The 12,603-nt window shown below is 51.6% G+C and overlaps 1 protein-coding gene across 2 annotated transcripts, besides 2 other annotated features; it reads right to left on the reverse strand.

Moving 5' to 3' along the window:
- Positions 1-10,503: 10,503 nt before the first annotated feature.
- On the reverse strand, positions 10,504-12,106 carry RPP25L (ribonuclease P/MRP subunit p25 like). 2 transcript variants are annotated; one of them, NM_148178.3, is made up of 2 exons: positions 12,073-12,106; positions 10,504-11,341 (listed from the first exon to the last, which is right to left on the reverse strand). In NM_148178.3, exon 2 carries the CDS (start codon positions 11,303-11,305, stop codon positions 10,814-10,816), a length of 492 nt encoding a protein of 163 aa, NP_680544.1. In that variant the 5' UTR covers positions 11,306-11,341; positions 12,073-12,106; the 3' UTR covers positions 10,504-10,813. The 2 variants fall into 2 exon arrangements, with proteins under 2 accessions (NP_680544.1, NP_680545.1); NM_148179.3 differs by having other exon boundaries at positions 11,869-12,106.
- Positions 11,024-11,577: an enhancer, noted in NCBI's record as "H3K4me1 hESC enhancer chr9:34611012-34611565 (GRCh37/hg19 assembly coordinates)". NCBI's record gives its function as "activates a minimal SCP1, AML or CMV promoter by ChIP-STARR-seq in naive H9 embryonic stem cells {active_cell/tissue: H9 hESC(naive)}" and the evidence as "EXISTENCE:reporter gene assay evidence [ECO:0000049][PMID:30033119]".
- Positions 12,041-12,280: a silencer, noted in NCBI's record as "silent region_19850". NCBI's record gives its function as "represses an Ori minimal core promoter by ATAC-STARR-seq in GM12878 lymphoblastoid cells {active_cell/tissue: GM12878}" and the evidence as "EXISTENCE:reporter gene assay evidence [ECO:0000049][PMID:35858748]".

A 12,603-nucleotide genomic window follows, 5' to 3' on the forward strand; every position in this document is an offset into this window, starting at 1 on the left:
ATGAGATAATCCAGTCAAGTGCTTAGTGCTAGCCCTAGCAGGTGCTAAAGCCCCCTTCGTCTGCTGGCTTTGGCTTCCTCCCAGTTGATGTCTATGTCTCCTCTGTCACGGCCTTTCTCCCCATTTTCTCTATCAACATTATCCTCTGTCTCTGTCTTTTACTGTCTTTCTCTTGATCTCTTTGGCTCTCCTTGTATCTGGCCCTGCCTGCATGACCCTGCTCCAACCCTCTGGCACAATTGGCCTAGGTGAGGTAGGGTAGGGGTGTCCAGGAAGGTAAATTTAAATATGGCATTCATGGCAGCAGGGTCATGCCTGAGCCTGAACATAGGTGAACCACAATCGTTGGGGTGAGTACTTCTGTCTATGGCCCTTTCTGACTGGGCAGAAGAGCTGGGGGCTCACTCTGGCAGTCCTCTTGGAGGAGGGGGGACTTGTCCTGACTGTTCTGGGCCGCCCCCACACCTGGACCCAGGCCAGATCCCCATAGCTAGTGCCTGCCTGGAGGTGAGGCAACCTGCCCAAAGGCCAGAACTGAAAGGGGTAGCCCTCTACCTCCACACAGAGTTGCTTACCTGACCTCAAAACATTCTGGCCCACCCTCATCCAAGTTCTGCTCTGAGCCTCCCATACCCCATCCCAAACCCTGTGTGGAAGCACATTGCCTCCATAGATCTAGTTTCTCTTGTCTCTGGCTCTTCCTATCTCTGTCTCTATCTATGTGTCTCTGTCTTCTCAATCTCGATCTATGACTTTGGCAACTGCATAAGCCTTGCACCCCTAAGCTAAGACCACCAGGGATAAGAAACTGCAGGGGTTGAAGAGTCTGTGTTCTTCACCTGGTCCAAAAAGCTCCTTCTTGGTGGTGGTGGTGGGGCGAACACAAGAAATCCAGATGTCATTTCCATGTCACTGTGGACCTGTGAAGGCAGGGGGCATGGCATAGAATAGGTGCTCATTAAATATAAACCAAATGAAGGAGGGGCAAACAGAGGACTCCAAACAAGGAACTGAATGGCTGAGGCTGTAGCAGGCAGGAACATGGAGAGACTATGGAAAGGCTGCTGCTCAACTTTGTGACTCAACAAGGAGTCTTCTTTGGGGGTCAGGATTGGTCTCAACTAGCCCTAGATGCTGCCACACCTGGGCCCTGGCCAGCCCCTTCACGTCAGCTCTTGGGCAGACAGCCAGATGGGTGAGCCACTAAGACTTCCCCATCACTTCCCTACTCCCAACACACCATTGCCTCAAGGTGCCCACCAGCTTCAAGCAGAGTGCTGGGAATACAGAGCCAGAGAGGGAGAAACTCTGGGCAGGGGCACACGGCAGGCAGAGGCTGAGACAGGAGTCTGGTGTCCTGGTAGCCAGCCTGGGCCTGTCATGAGGATCCTATGCCAGTACAGTGATGGGGGCCAGACCCGAAACAGGATTTTATGTGGGGAGAGAAGCCAGGAATCCTTGAACATGTGGGCAGCTGGGCAAGGGGTGGAACGTCCCATCAGGTAAGGACAGATGTGCAGCTTCTTGTCCTTCTTGTTAGATAAAGACAAGCATTGAGACAAAAGGTTCAGAGAGATAGAATCAGAGCAAAAGAGAGAAGAGAGAGCCTGGGAGACAGACCGAGAAATAGAAACTCTCAGAGACACAGTCAGGCACAAAAACAAAGATGCAGAGAAAGAGATGTGAGTCAGGGACACAGACAGGGAAATGCAGAAGAGAGAGCCATGGAATTAAAGACACAGAGACCAAGATAGGGAGGGATATGAAATCAGAGAGAAACTGTCTCAGTCACAGAGCAACAATGTGGAGACAGACTCAGACAGAGAAACACAGAGACAGGGAGAAAAAAAAATTGAGAGATAGAGAGATGGAGAAGAGAGAGAGGAGGACAGCGACAGCAAGATCAAGAGAGGCAGAGAGATGGACAGAGGACAAGGCAGAAGGAAGCAAAGACAGGGCTAGGCAAAGAAAGAGATCAAAACATTAGGAGTGGGAAAAGTGGGCGAGGGACAAAGGAGTTTCGTGGCCTCAGTCTCTCTAGCCTGGTCTCCCCAGGGTGTTGGACCCTTACTTTGCTATTCTCTGGTTTCCATAGCAACAGGGAGGGCAGCGCCAAATTTGCATACACATTTACATCCTTTCTATTTGAATAATTCAACAGGTTTCTGTGCATATTCATGAGATAATGAATGAAGGTGACTCTCAATCCCTGCTCAAAACCTGGCTATGGTATCCCCTGCTTTGTAGTGTATGGTATGGCTCTGAGCCTGGTTTTGTAGGCCTTGACCTCTCCCTGCCAGACCCTGCTAACGATGCCAGCCCCTCCTCCCCAAACATCTTTTGCATTTTCCTACCTCTAGGCCTTTCTTCAGGTTATGCTCCTCTGCCTGCAGGGGATGCCTTTCCCTCAGCGTCAGTCCTGCCAGTGGCCTCTGGTAAGGAGTAGCAGGAGATGACAGGGGTGAGCAGGGCTCATCTTGGCTCCCTGGTGGAGGCGATCCTTCAGTCACATTCCTAACTGGGGGTGCTTGAAAGGGTCACACTGAGAGAGGCTGGGGTGTAGGCTGAGCTGCAGTCTGACAAATCTACCAACATAGAGCTACCTAGGACACAGTGGCCTCCATATGGAAACTGACAAAGCCCTTGGTTCCAGCTAGAATAATCAGAGGAGCTGAGATAGCACCAAAAGGAATCTCAGGAACAGAGGGGCTGAGGTGGCTCAGATGGTGGGGGAGAAAGTTCCTAGGGCCAAGAACCCTTTCAAAGTGCCAGGCATTGAATGGCCTTGTGGGCTGGGAGGAGCTTCTTCCGGGCCTGCTCTGCTTATAATTTTGGCCTCACTGACTACCCCTTGGATCCCTACAGCAGCTTTCTCACTGCTCTTCCTGCCCTGTACTGCAATCCACTCTCCACATTGTAGCCAGAGTTCTCTTTCTAAACACAATCTGATATTCCACAGAACTCCCACCTTGAAGCCTTCAGTGACGTTCCATCTCCCTCAAGATAGAGTCCAAGCACCTTTGGCCAGGCTTGCAGGCCTCTCTGTCTGACCCCCACTCACTTCTGAGCCTCATCCCTTACTCTCTGCCTTGAACTTCATGCTCCAGTGATCATCTCTATGCTGCCTCTATGCCTTGGCTTATCGCTTCCCTTCACCTGGAATGTCATGCCCACTTCTCTCCTAAGCTATTCAAGATTCCACAGAGGTATCACCTTCTCTTCTTTAAATCTTTGTGTGTCTCTAAAAGTTGGAATACGGGCTCTGTCTGAACTCATGCAGCAGTAAACCTGCCTAATCTGTGTACTTGTCACACCATAGGGAAACTTTTTTTTTTTTTTTTAAATGGAGTCTCACTCTGTTGCTCAGGCTGGAGTGCAGTGGCTGGATCTTGGCTCACTGCAACCTCCACCTCCTCTGTTCAAGCCATTCTCCTGCCTCAGCCTCCCAAGTACCTGGGATTACAGGCGTGCACCATCAGCACCGGCTAATTTTTGTATTTTTAGTAGAGACAGGGTTTCACCATGTTGGCCAGGCTGGTCTCGAACTCCTGACCTCAAATGATCTGCCCGCCTCGGCCTCCCAAAGTGCTGGGACCACAGGCGTGAGCCACCACGCCCAGCCTCCATAGGGAAATTATATATGTGGCTATAGCCCTCTTGGGGTTGGAGGTTCCAAGCCCAGTGACTATATTTGTCACATTGTGGATGATCATCAGCTGTTTGTTGAATAACTGAGGGGTCACTGAGCCCATTAAGGATCAAATTTCAAGTCTCTGTGTCTTGGGACTCCTGAGGCCCTCTGCACAGACCCTGGAAAGGAATGGGCTATCCCTTTGCAAATGCTGCCACCTTGTGGCCACAGCCAGAAGTGAGTGTAGCCAGAACATCACCTATCAATGTGAGAGCTGGACCAGACAAGTATTACAGTAAGGAGTGGGGAGGTAGTAGGTCCCAAGGGAGTGCTCAGAGGCCAGCACCTGTGTCCTTTAAACATTCTTGATGAGTTCCAAGCAGACAGAATGACAAGAACAAAGACTCAGAGGCAGAAAATCTTATGGCACTTGGGAAGTGTGACTGTGGTCAGAGCCTAGGGTCCAACAGGACAAGGCCAAAGACGGACTAAGCCATGGGCAGGGGCCAAGCAAAGGGGTCCTTTAAAACCACCCAGTGGGCTGGGCACGGTGGCTCAGGCCTGTAATCCTAGCACTTTGGGAGGCTGAGGCGGGCAGATCACCTGACGTCAGGAGTTCGAGACCAGCCTGACCAACATGGAGAAACCCTGTCTCTACTAAAAATACAAAATTAGCCGGGCGTGGTGGCACATGCCTGTAATCCCAGCTACTCAGAGGCTGAGGCAGGAGAATCGCTTGAACCTGGAAGGCAGAGGTTGCAGTGAGCTGAGATTGCACCATCGCACTCCAGCCTGGGTGACAAGCGCAAAACTCCATCTCAAAAAAAAAAAAAGAAAGAAAGAAAGAAAAAGGAAAAGAAACAAAAACCAAACATCTAGTGAATGTAGTGAATGAACTTGGATCCTGTCCTCTAATCTTGGCATGGAGGCTAAGGGAATAGAAGAATGACAAGGTCAGATCTGAGTATGGCCCCATATTGGGGGCGGGTGGCTCAATATTCATTCATTTACTCACTAAATATTTATTGAGTACCTACTATGTGCCAAGTGATGTTCAAGATCCTTAGGTTACATAAGGGAATGAAACAAAGATTCTTTCCCTTTTGGAGCTTACATTCTCATCAGGAGGAGACAATAAACAAAAGTATTATTTTAAAGACGTAAATATCATAGAGGTTAAGAAAAACTGGAGTGGGGGAAAGGCAGGGTAAGGAAGATCGAAAGTGCTGGACTGCAATTTTAAATGAAGTGGCCAGAGTAGGCCTCATGAAGGTGACATTTTAGCAAAGACTTAAAGGAGGGAGGGAGATAACCATGCAAGTATGGGGGGAAGAGCATTCTAAACAAAGGGAATAGCCAGTGGCTTGGTTTGGGGGAGAGCTCCAAGGGGAGTGAAGCACAGCGATGAGTATGGAAACTGCTGAGCGATAATGAGTGGCACAAACCAACAGAGGCTTTGGGGATGGAGACCTAGAAGGCAAAATGGGCAGAACTTGGTGCCTGCTTGGATATGGGAGGCACATAACTCCTCCAGGCATATTGTGTTCTGATGTCCCCATTTCAAGGGAACAAACACAAGGTGGCTAGACATGCCACCTCTAAGACAGGTAGTGAGAATGCTCAACGCATTCCATCCTGGATGACTCCATTGCCGACCAGAATGCTCCCCACCTCACCTTTCCCAGCCTCAACTCACCAGCTCATCTTCCGTGTCTCTGTCTCCAGACCCTCCAGCCATCCACTCTCATGCCCACAAATCCTATCAGCTCCAAAAACCCTCAACCCTATTAATACCTTCCCATCCTTTAGCTGTGGTTATGGGTTAAATTGTGCCCTCCACTCCCATTGCCCCCCAACCAAAACCATTTATAGATATCTTCATCCCCAGTACCTCAGAATGTGACTTTATTTAGAAATACAGCCTTTATAGAGATAGTCAAATTAAAATGAGTTCATAGGGTGGGCCCTTATCCAATATAAGTGGTGTCCTTACAAAAAGAAGAAATTTGGATACAAAGACACACAAAAAGGGAAGATGGGGTGGAGACACAGGGAAAATGCCACGTGAAGAGTGGCATGATGCACCTATAAGTCAAGCATGCCAAAGGATGCTGGCAAATCACCAGGACGAGGCAAGAAAGGATTCCCCCACAGATTTCAGAGGGAGTGTGGCCCTGCCAACACCTTGATTTCAGACTTCCAGCTCCAGAATGGTGAGACAATAAATTCTGTTGTTCTAAGCCCCCCAGTTTGTGGCACTTTGTTACGGCTGCCTAGGAAACCATATAGCTACAACGTTCCTGTCCTAGGATAGTCCATCTCACTCCACCCCATCTTCATGGGGATCTCCAGGCCACTGACTCCTGTCCCTTTTCCCTCACTTCCCTCCTGGCCCAGTTTGGATGCCTTGGTCGTTCACTACATGTACTCTCTTGCTAGTCTCCTCATGCATCTTCCCTCATTCCTACCTGTCTTAAAGTCAGTCTGGAAGAATGCATCTGTGCTTTTTCTGAGTCCTCACCTATCCTGTGGGTGCTGCTAAGAGCTCACACACCCTGACCAATGACCCTACAAGTTCATGGTCACCAGCCTACACTGGGCTTTTAGCCCTGCCTGGTCATTATCCTGTACCTCTTCTAGTCACCTCTCCCTAGTCACCTCTCCCAACTGCAACAACTATCTCACACATCCTTCCCTCTAGCTTCCTTGCCCCACTCTCAGCTATGGAGCTGGACTACTGCTTTGAGGAGATAAGAGGCCTTCTGAACTCCCTCATGTCCCATCTTCACCTCCAGACCTATCTGCACACATATCTGTCCTCAACTCCATCCCTCCTGTTACAGGAAGTCATCCCTCCTCTTCCCTGGGGAGGCCCTTACCTCCATGCTTCTGGATCCCATTTGCTTTTACCTGCTCAGGAACCTCATGCTGTGAGTTATCCACAATCTCCTGCATCCTTCATCTCTTTCCCTACTGGCTTCTTCGTCTGTCAGCCTATAAACATGCTCAAGTCTCTGCTAGTATATTAAAAACTACAACAACAACAACAACAAAAACAAAATCCAACACTCTCTGTACTCCACATTCCTCTCCTGCTATCTATCACCCCTTTCTACCCATTCACAATCCAATTTCTTGAAAGAGCTGTCTCTACTTCCTTACCTTTTGTGCCAAGACGTGACCTTATGGTGGCAGAAGCCACATTGCAGTGAATTAAGGAGAAAGTGGACAGAACTAGACACAACTCTTGTGCTCTCTTGTAAAGCTGGTCAGCCTTTCTGACTCCAAAGGGCTCATGCCTCTGGTCCCCTCCCTGCCATTCCTCCTGTAGGCCCCAGCTGGGCCCCGTAGAGACCAAAGATGGAGAGAAAATGCCCCTCCTGGGACTCCAGAGCTCGCAATGCCACCTTCAGCACAGATCACCATAATTATTATATGTGATCCCTCCACCCTGGCCATCAGCAGATGGGATGAGATCATCAGCCAAAGGTCAATAGTCTGCAAGGTGGCCTGGCCTCAAAGCTCTGGAGTTCCAATGATACTCAGAGAACTGCTGATGGCAGAAGACACACAAGTGAAGATGTTCAGAGAAAAAGCGGTATGCAGAAGCTGAGAGGGAACAAAATTCCTGAATTAGCTGCAAGGAGAATGGGGGAAGTCAGTCAGTTGCTGGCAGCAAGACACCTGAGTCACTGCCACTGCAGCCATAATTGCCTTTAGGAGTGTTTTAGATGCTTCACGACCCTGTGCATTTGAGAGACCTGCTCGGCAGCCACTGAGGTTTTCTCTCCTAATCTCCTCTGAATCCCCATCACCTACCCCTCCCCCAGGGTCCTCCACATCACTCAGAGCTAACCTATCTTTGAAAGCAAAGGATGCAGTATTTACAGTTTTGAAAACTGCCTGCTGGCCCTGTGGTCACCTCACCCCTCCTCTAAGCCCTTATCAAGGGCTTCAGTCCTCCAATTCCCTCTCCTTCTCAATCCCTCCTGCCTGGTCTCAGTTAAGTATCACTGCAACATCCTTACATTGCTGGGCCCATTCTACTACAATGTGAGCCCAGAAGAACCCCAACCTTCTGCTTTCCTCATGACTGGACACCCAGGCTGCTGGACACATTGGAGAAAATCTCAAGATCCATGGGAGATCCAACTGATTCAATTCTTCAGAGTTCACTACTGCCCATAATCCTGCTCTAGTTCCCGCAGCACCCCCTGCTACTGATGCAACCTTCATTTCTCTTCTCATGCCCCCGACCCTGAGAGTTTAAGGCCAAGGCAAAGCAGAAAAGGAGCAGCAAAGGGAAAAAAGGCAAGGATGTGGCCGGGCGCGGTGGCTCACGCTTGTAATCCCAGCACTTTGGGAGGCCAAAGCGGGTGGATCACCTGAGGTCGGGAGTTCGAGACCAGCCTGGCCTACATGGAGAAACCCCGTCTCTACTGAAAATGCAAAATTAGCCGGGCATGGTGGCGCATGCCTGTAGTCCCAGCTACTCCGGAGGCTGAGGCAGGAGAATCGCTTGAACCCGGGAGGCGGAGGTTGCGGTGAGCTGAGATTATGCCATTGCACTCCAGCCTGGGCAACAAGAGCAAAACTCCATCTCCAAAAAATATATAAATAAAAATAAATAAATAAATAAAAGGCAAGGATGAGACCTGGAGAGAGATGTGGGATTGAGGTTTTTTTTTTTTGAGATGGAGTCTTGCTCTGTCGCCCAGGCTGGAGTGCAGTGGCGCAATCTCGGCTCACTGCAAGCTCTGCCTCCTGGGTTCACGCCATTCTCCTGCCTCAGCCTCTCGAGTAGCTGGGACTACAGGCGCCCGCCACCACACCCGGCTAATTTTTTGTAATTTTAGTAGAGACAGGGTTTCACCGTGTTAGCCAGGATGGCCTTGATCTCTTGACCTCCTGATCCGCCTGCCTCCACCTCCCAAAGTGCTAGGATTACAGGCATGAGCCACCATGCCTGGCTTTTTTTTTTTTTTTTCTGAGATGGAGTCTCGCTCTATTGCCCAGGCTGAAGTGCAGTGGCGGTTCACTGCAACCTCCGCCTCCTGAGTTCAAGCAATTCTCCTGCCTCAGTCTCCCACGTAGCTGGGATTACAGGTGCCCACCACCACGCCTGGTTTTTTTTTTTTTTGTATTTTTAGTAGAGACAGGGTTTCACCATATTGGTTGGGGTGGTCTCAAACTCCTGACCTTGTGTTCCGCCCGCTACGGCCTCCCAAAGTGCTGGAATTACAGGCGTGAGCCACCGCCCCTGGCCTTTTTTTTTTTTTTTTTTTAAGATGGAGCCTCATTCTATTGCCCAGGCTGGAGTACAATGGCGTGATCTTGGCTCACTGCAACCTCTGCCTCCTGGGTTCAAGCGATTCTCCTGCCTCAGCCTCCCAAGTAGCTGGGATTACAGGCGCGCACCACCATGCCCAGCTAATTTTTTAATTTTTACTAGAGAGGGGGTTTCACCATGTTGACCAGGCTGGTCTCGAACTCCTGACCTCGTGATCTGCCCTCCTCGGCCTCCCAAAGTGCTGGGATTACAGGCTTGAGCCACCGCGCCTGGCCTGTTTTGTCTTTTTGAGACAGAGTCTTGCTCTGTCACCCAGGCTGGAGTGCAGTGGTGCAATCCCAGCTCACTGCAACCTCTTCCTCCTGGGTTCAAGCTATTCTCCTGCCTCAGCCTCCCAAGTAACTGGGATTCCAGGCATGCACCACCACGCCCAGCTAATTTCTTGTATTTTTAGTAGAGATGGGGCTTCACCAAGTTGACCAGGCTGGTCTTGACCTCAAGTGATCCACTCGTCTTGGCCTCCCAAAGTGCTGGGACTACAGGTGTGAGCCACTGCGCCCAGCCTGTTTTCTGTTTTTGAGACAGGGTCTCACTCTGTCATCCAGGCCGAAGTACAGTAGCACAATCATGGCTCACTGCAGCCTCAACCTCCCGGGCTCAAGCGATCCTCTTGCCTCAGCCTCCCAAGTAGCTGGGACTAAAGGTGCACACCACTATGCCTAGCTAATTTTTAGATGTTTTTGTAGAGACAGGGTCTCCCTACTATGTTGCCCAGGCTGGTCTCCAACTCCTGGGATCAAGCAATCCTCCTGCCTCAGCCTCCCAAAGTGCTGGGATTACAGGCATCAGCCACTGTGCCCAACCCAAAGATATGATTCTAAGACAGGAAAAAGCATGTTTGCAAACTAGTGGAGTTGAGGATAAATGTGTATACAGACAGGTCTGGAGGTGAAGATGGAACATGAGGGAGTTCGAAAGGCCTCTGTCTCTTCAAAGCAGAGTCCAGCTCCATAGCTGAGATTGGGGCAAGGAAGCTGGAGGGAAGGAGGTGTGAGACAGTTGTTGCATTTGGGATAGGTAAGTCATTAATAACGATAATAGCAATTAACACTTAATAGCACTATGTGCCAGTGTGGTATCTAAATGTCATATATGTATATTTCCTTATGTAATCTCATAACAATCCTATGTGATAAACACTATCGTATTCCTGTTTTATGGATAAGACCACTAAGGCACAGAGCAGTAACTTGCTAATAAGTGGCAGACCAGGATTGAAACCCAGGCAGGTTGGTACCAGAGTCCATGCTCACAACCACTATACTATACTGTATGCTGCAGATGGAGAGAAATGTCTGACCTGGCAGTGTTCCTAAACCAGGCCAAAGCAGGGGCAAATAACTATCCAGGGAATTAGATATATTCAGTACTGACTGAGGCTTCTTGTAGACACTATATTCTCCCAGCACCGGCCTGAGCCTACTACTCTTCCTCTGTCTTCACCCGATCAGCCCCCCGGGGTAAGGGCGGGGACTCCCATTTCTTTAATCCCACTCCACATAGCAGGCTGAGTAGAGGCTCATCAAATAGGTAGAAACTTTATTTCCTAAATCCCTCCCTGGACCTCTTTCAGAAGGCAGTTCAAATGCACTGTAGGTAGAAGGCAGAGGAAGCCCTTATTTAGCAATGCAGAACTTGGCAGAGGCCCCACATCTGTCATTCTTCACAGCAGTCCCTTCCCACATGCTAGAGGGAAGGGGAAGCATGATAGGGAGGTCCACTTTTGTGGACTCAAACCTTGATGGGGATGTTGAGCAGTCACAACGCTTCTCAGAAAAGGCACAAGCACCCCAGACATTCAGGCCCGGAGAACAGGCTGGCTCAGCAGGTCTTCACGATCGGGTGTCTCGAGCCCTTCTTCGGGAACGAGGGCCACAGCTGGAGCTGGGCATGGAACCCAGGCCAGGGGGTGCTCCTGGGGGTTGGTAACCACACTCATTGGGGTCCAGGGGGTCCCGGCTGAGCAGCACCCACACTGCAGGCACATGGCGGCGCACTGTGAGGGGGTCTAGCCCTGTGTCAGGTGAGGCTGGGACCCAGCTGTCCTCAGTCTGAAGGAAACGTAGCTTGGTGAGCTGGTGCAGGCCTGGGACCCGCCGCTTGACAATCTCAGCGCAGCTGACAGCCTTTCCTGCAGCCCTGCCAGAACCTGAGAACACTACATGCCGAGCACTGCCGCCCTCCAACCGACCCAGAGCCAACCCCAGCAGGTTGCGAATTTTGCTGCCATCTCGGACCCGCATCTCAAGGGTATCAGGAGGTAGCTGGGGCATTGGGGAAGGCGCTGGGAGCTCTACAGAGCCAGCTTTCCGGTAGTGCTCCATCCTGCTTGCTGTCTTGTCTGTGACTCTCGCTGCCCACTGCAGGGAAGCATCAGGTAAGTGCTAAGCAATGTGCCCCAAGTCACTGTCCACCATCCCCTATCTCCATCCAGGATATGGCCCTGCTCCCCGTTCCAGACTTCCCAGAAACAGGATCATGTCCCCTTGTCCTTAGCATCTCGTGACAAGGTCCATGCCTGCCGCAGTCTGGGAAAGGGCTGTACCCCATACACCCCGTTCCTCTACAAGGGCCATAACACCCCCACCTCCAATCCTGGAGTCCAAGAGGCAGGATCACATTCCCCAAACACTGAGCTCTTTGGGAAAGTGCCAGGCCCCCTCATCCTAAACTCTCCAGGACTGGGGCTTAGCCCCCCTTATCCTGGGCTCCTTGGAACAGGGCCTGGAACCCTCACCCCAGACTAATACCAATAGAGAGCGCTCCTCACTTGGGGCTCTACAAGGACAGGGACAAGGCCCTTCGCCCCAGGCCCCCCGGGAAACAGCCAAGAACCCTTATCCAGTGCTGCCCCCAAACAGAACGGATCCCCTCTCCCAGAGATTACCAAGGTCAATCTATATCAACCCAGGTCACTCAGAAACTCGGGGGCAGAGGCTCGACTCGGAGGGCTGCTCAGGACATTCCAAGACAGCCTTGGCCGTTTCCATAGCCACGGTCTCTTCCAGGGTCTTGCCGGCCGCTGCAGCCAAGCCACAGGCGTCCCCCAACCCTACGAGCGCCCCTCTGCCCGCCCGGTTCCGGCTCTCACCGAAGCCGCCTCACGCACGATCCGGAGCCAAGATGGCGCGCGGGCCCGGAGCGCACTAAGGCCGCGGGGCCGCGCACGCCCCGAGGGGGCGGGGCGTGAGGGGCGGGGCGTGAGGGACGGGCCCCGAGGCATCTCCGCCGCGGAAACAACCCGCTGGCCAGAGCGCCCCGGACCAGTCCCAGCGGGGATGGGAACACGAGCGCAGCCTCCGCTGTTACGCCCCGGAGGGAGGCAGGACAGTTCCCTGCGGTAGAAAGGAGCGGCCGTCGGGGAAGTCCTGCGTCTGAAGGAGGGGGATCTGGCCCTTAGAAGATGGGAGGGCTGGCGTTAGCTGTTGAGCAAACGGGGAGCTGTGGGTTTCACCGTGGGTGCGAACAAAGGCTTCAGTTTGTAGTGGCTGCTGTTGCATGGGCGAGAGCCTTAGTTACCGACTTCTGAGCTTCGACCTCATCCTGTGGGCGCTGGCGGACCACGGGGGTTTTCCGGGTTTTCCAGGGGCCAGTCGAACCAGATCTTGTGCAGGGAGCCGAG

The sequence above is a fragment of the Homo sapiens genome, chromosome 9 (genome assembly GCF_000001405.40).
Source record: "Homo sapiens chromosome 9, GRCh38.p14 Primary Assembly".
Taxonomy (NCBI): Eukaryota; Metazoa; Chordata; class Mammalia; order Primates; family Hominidae; genus Homo; species Homo sapiens.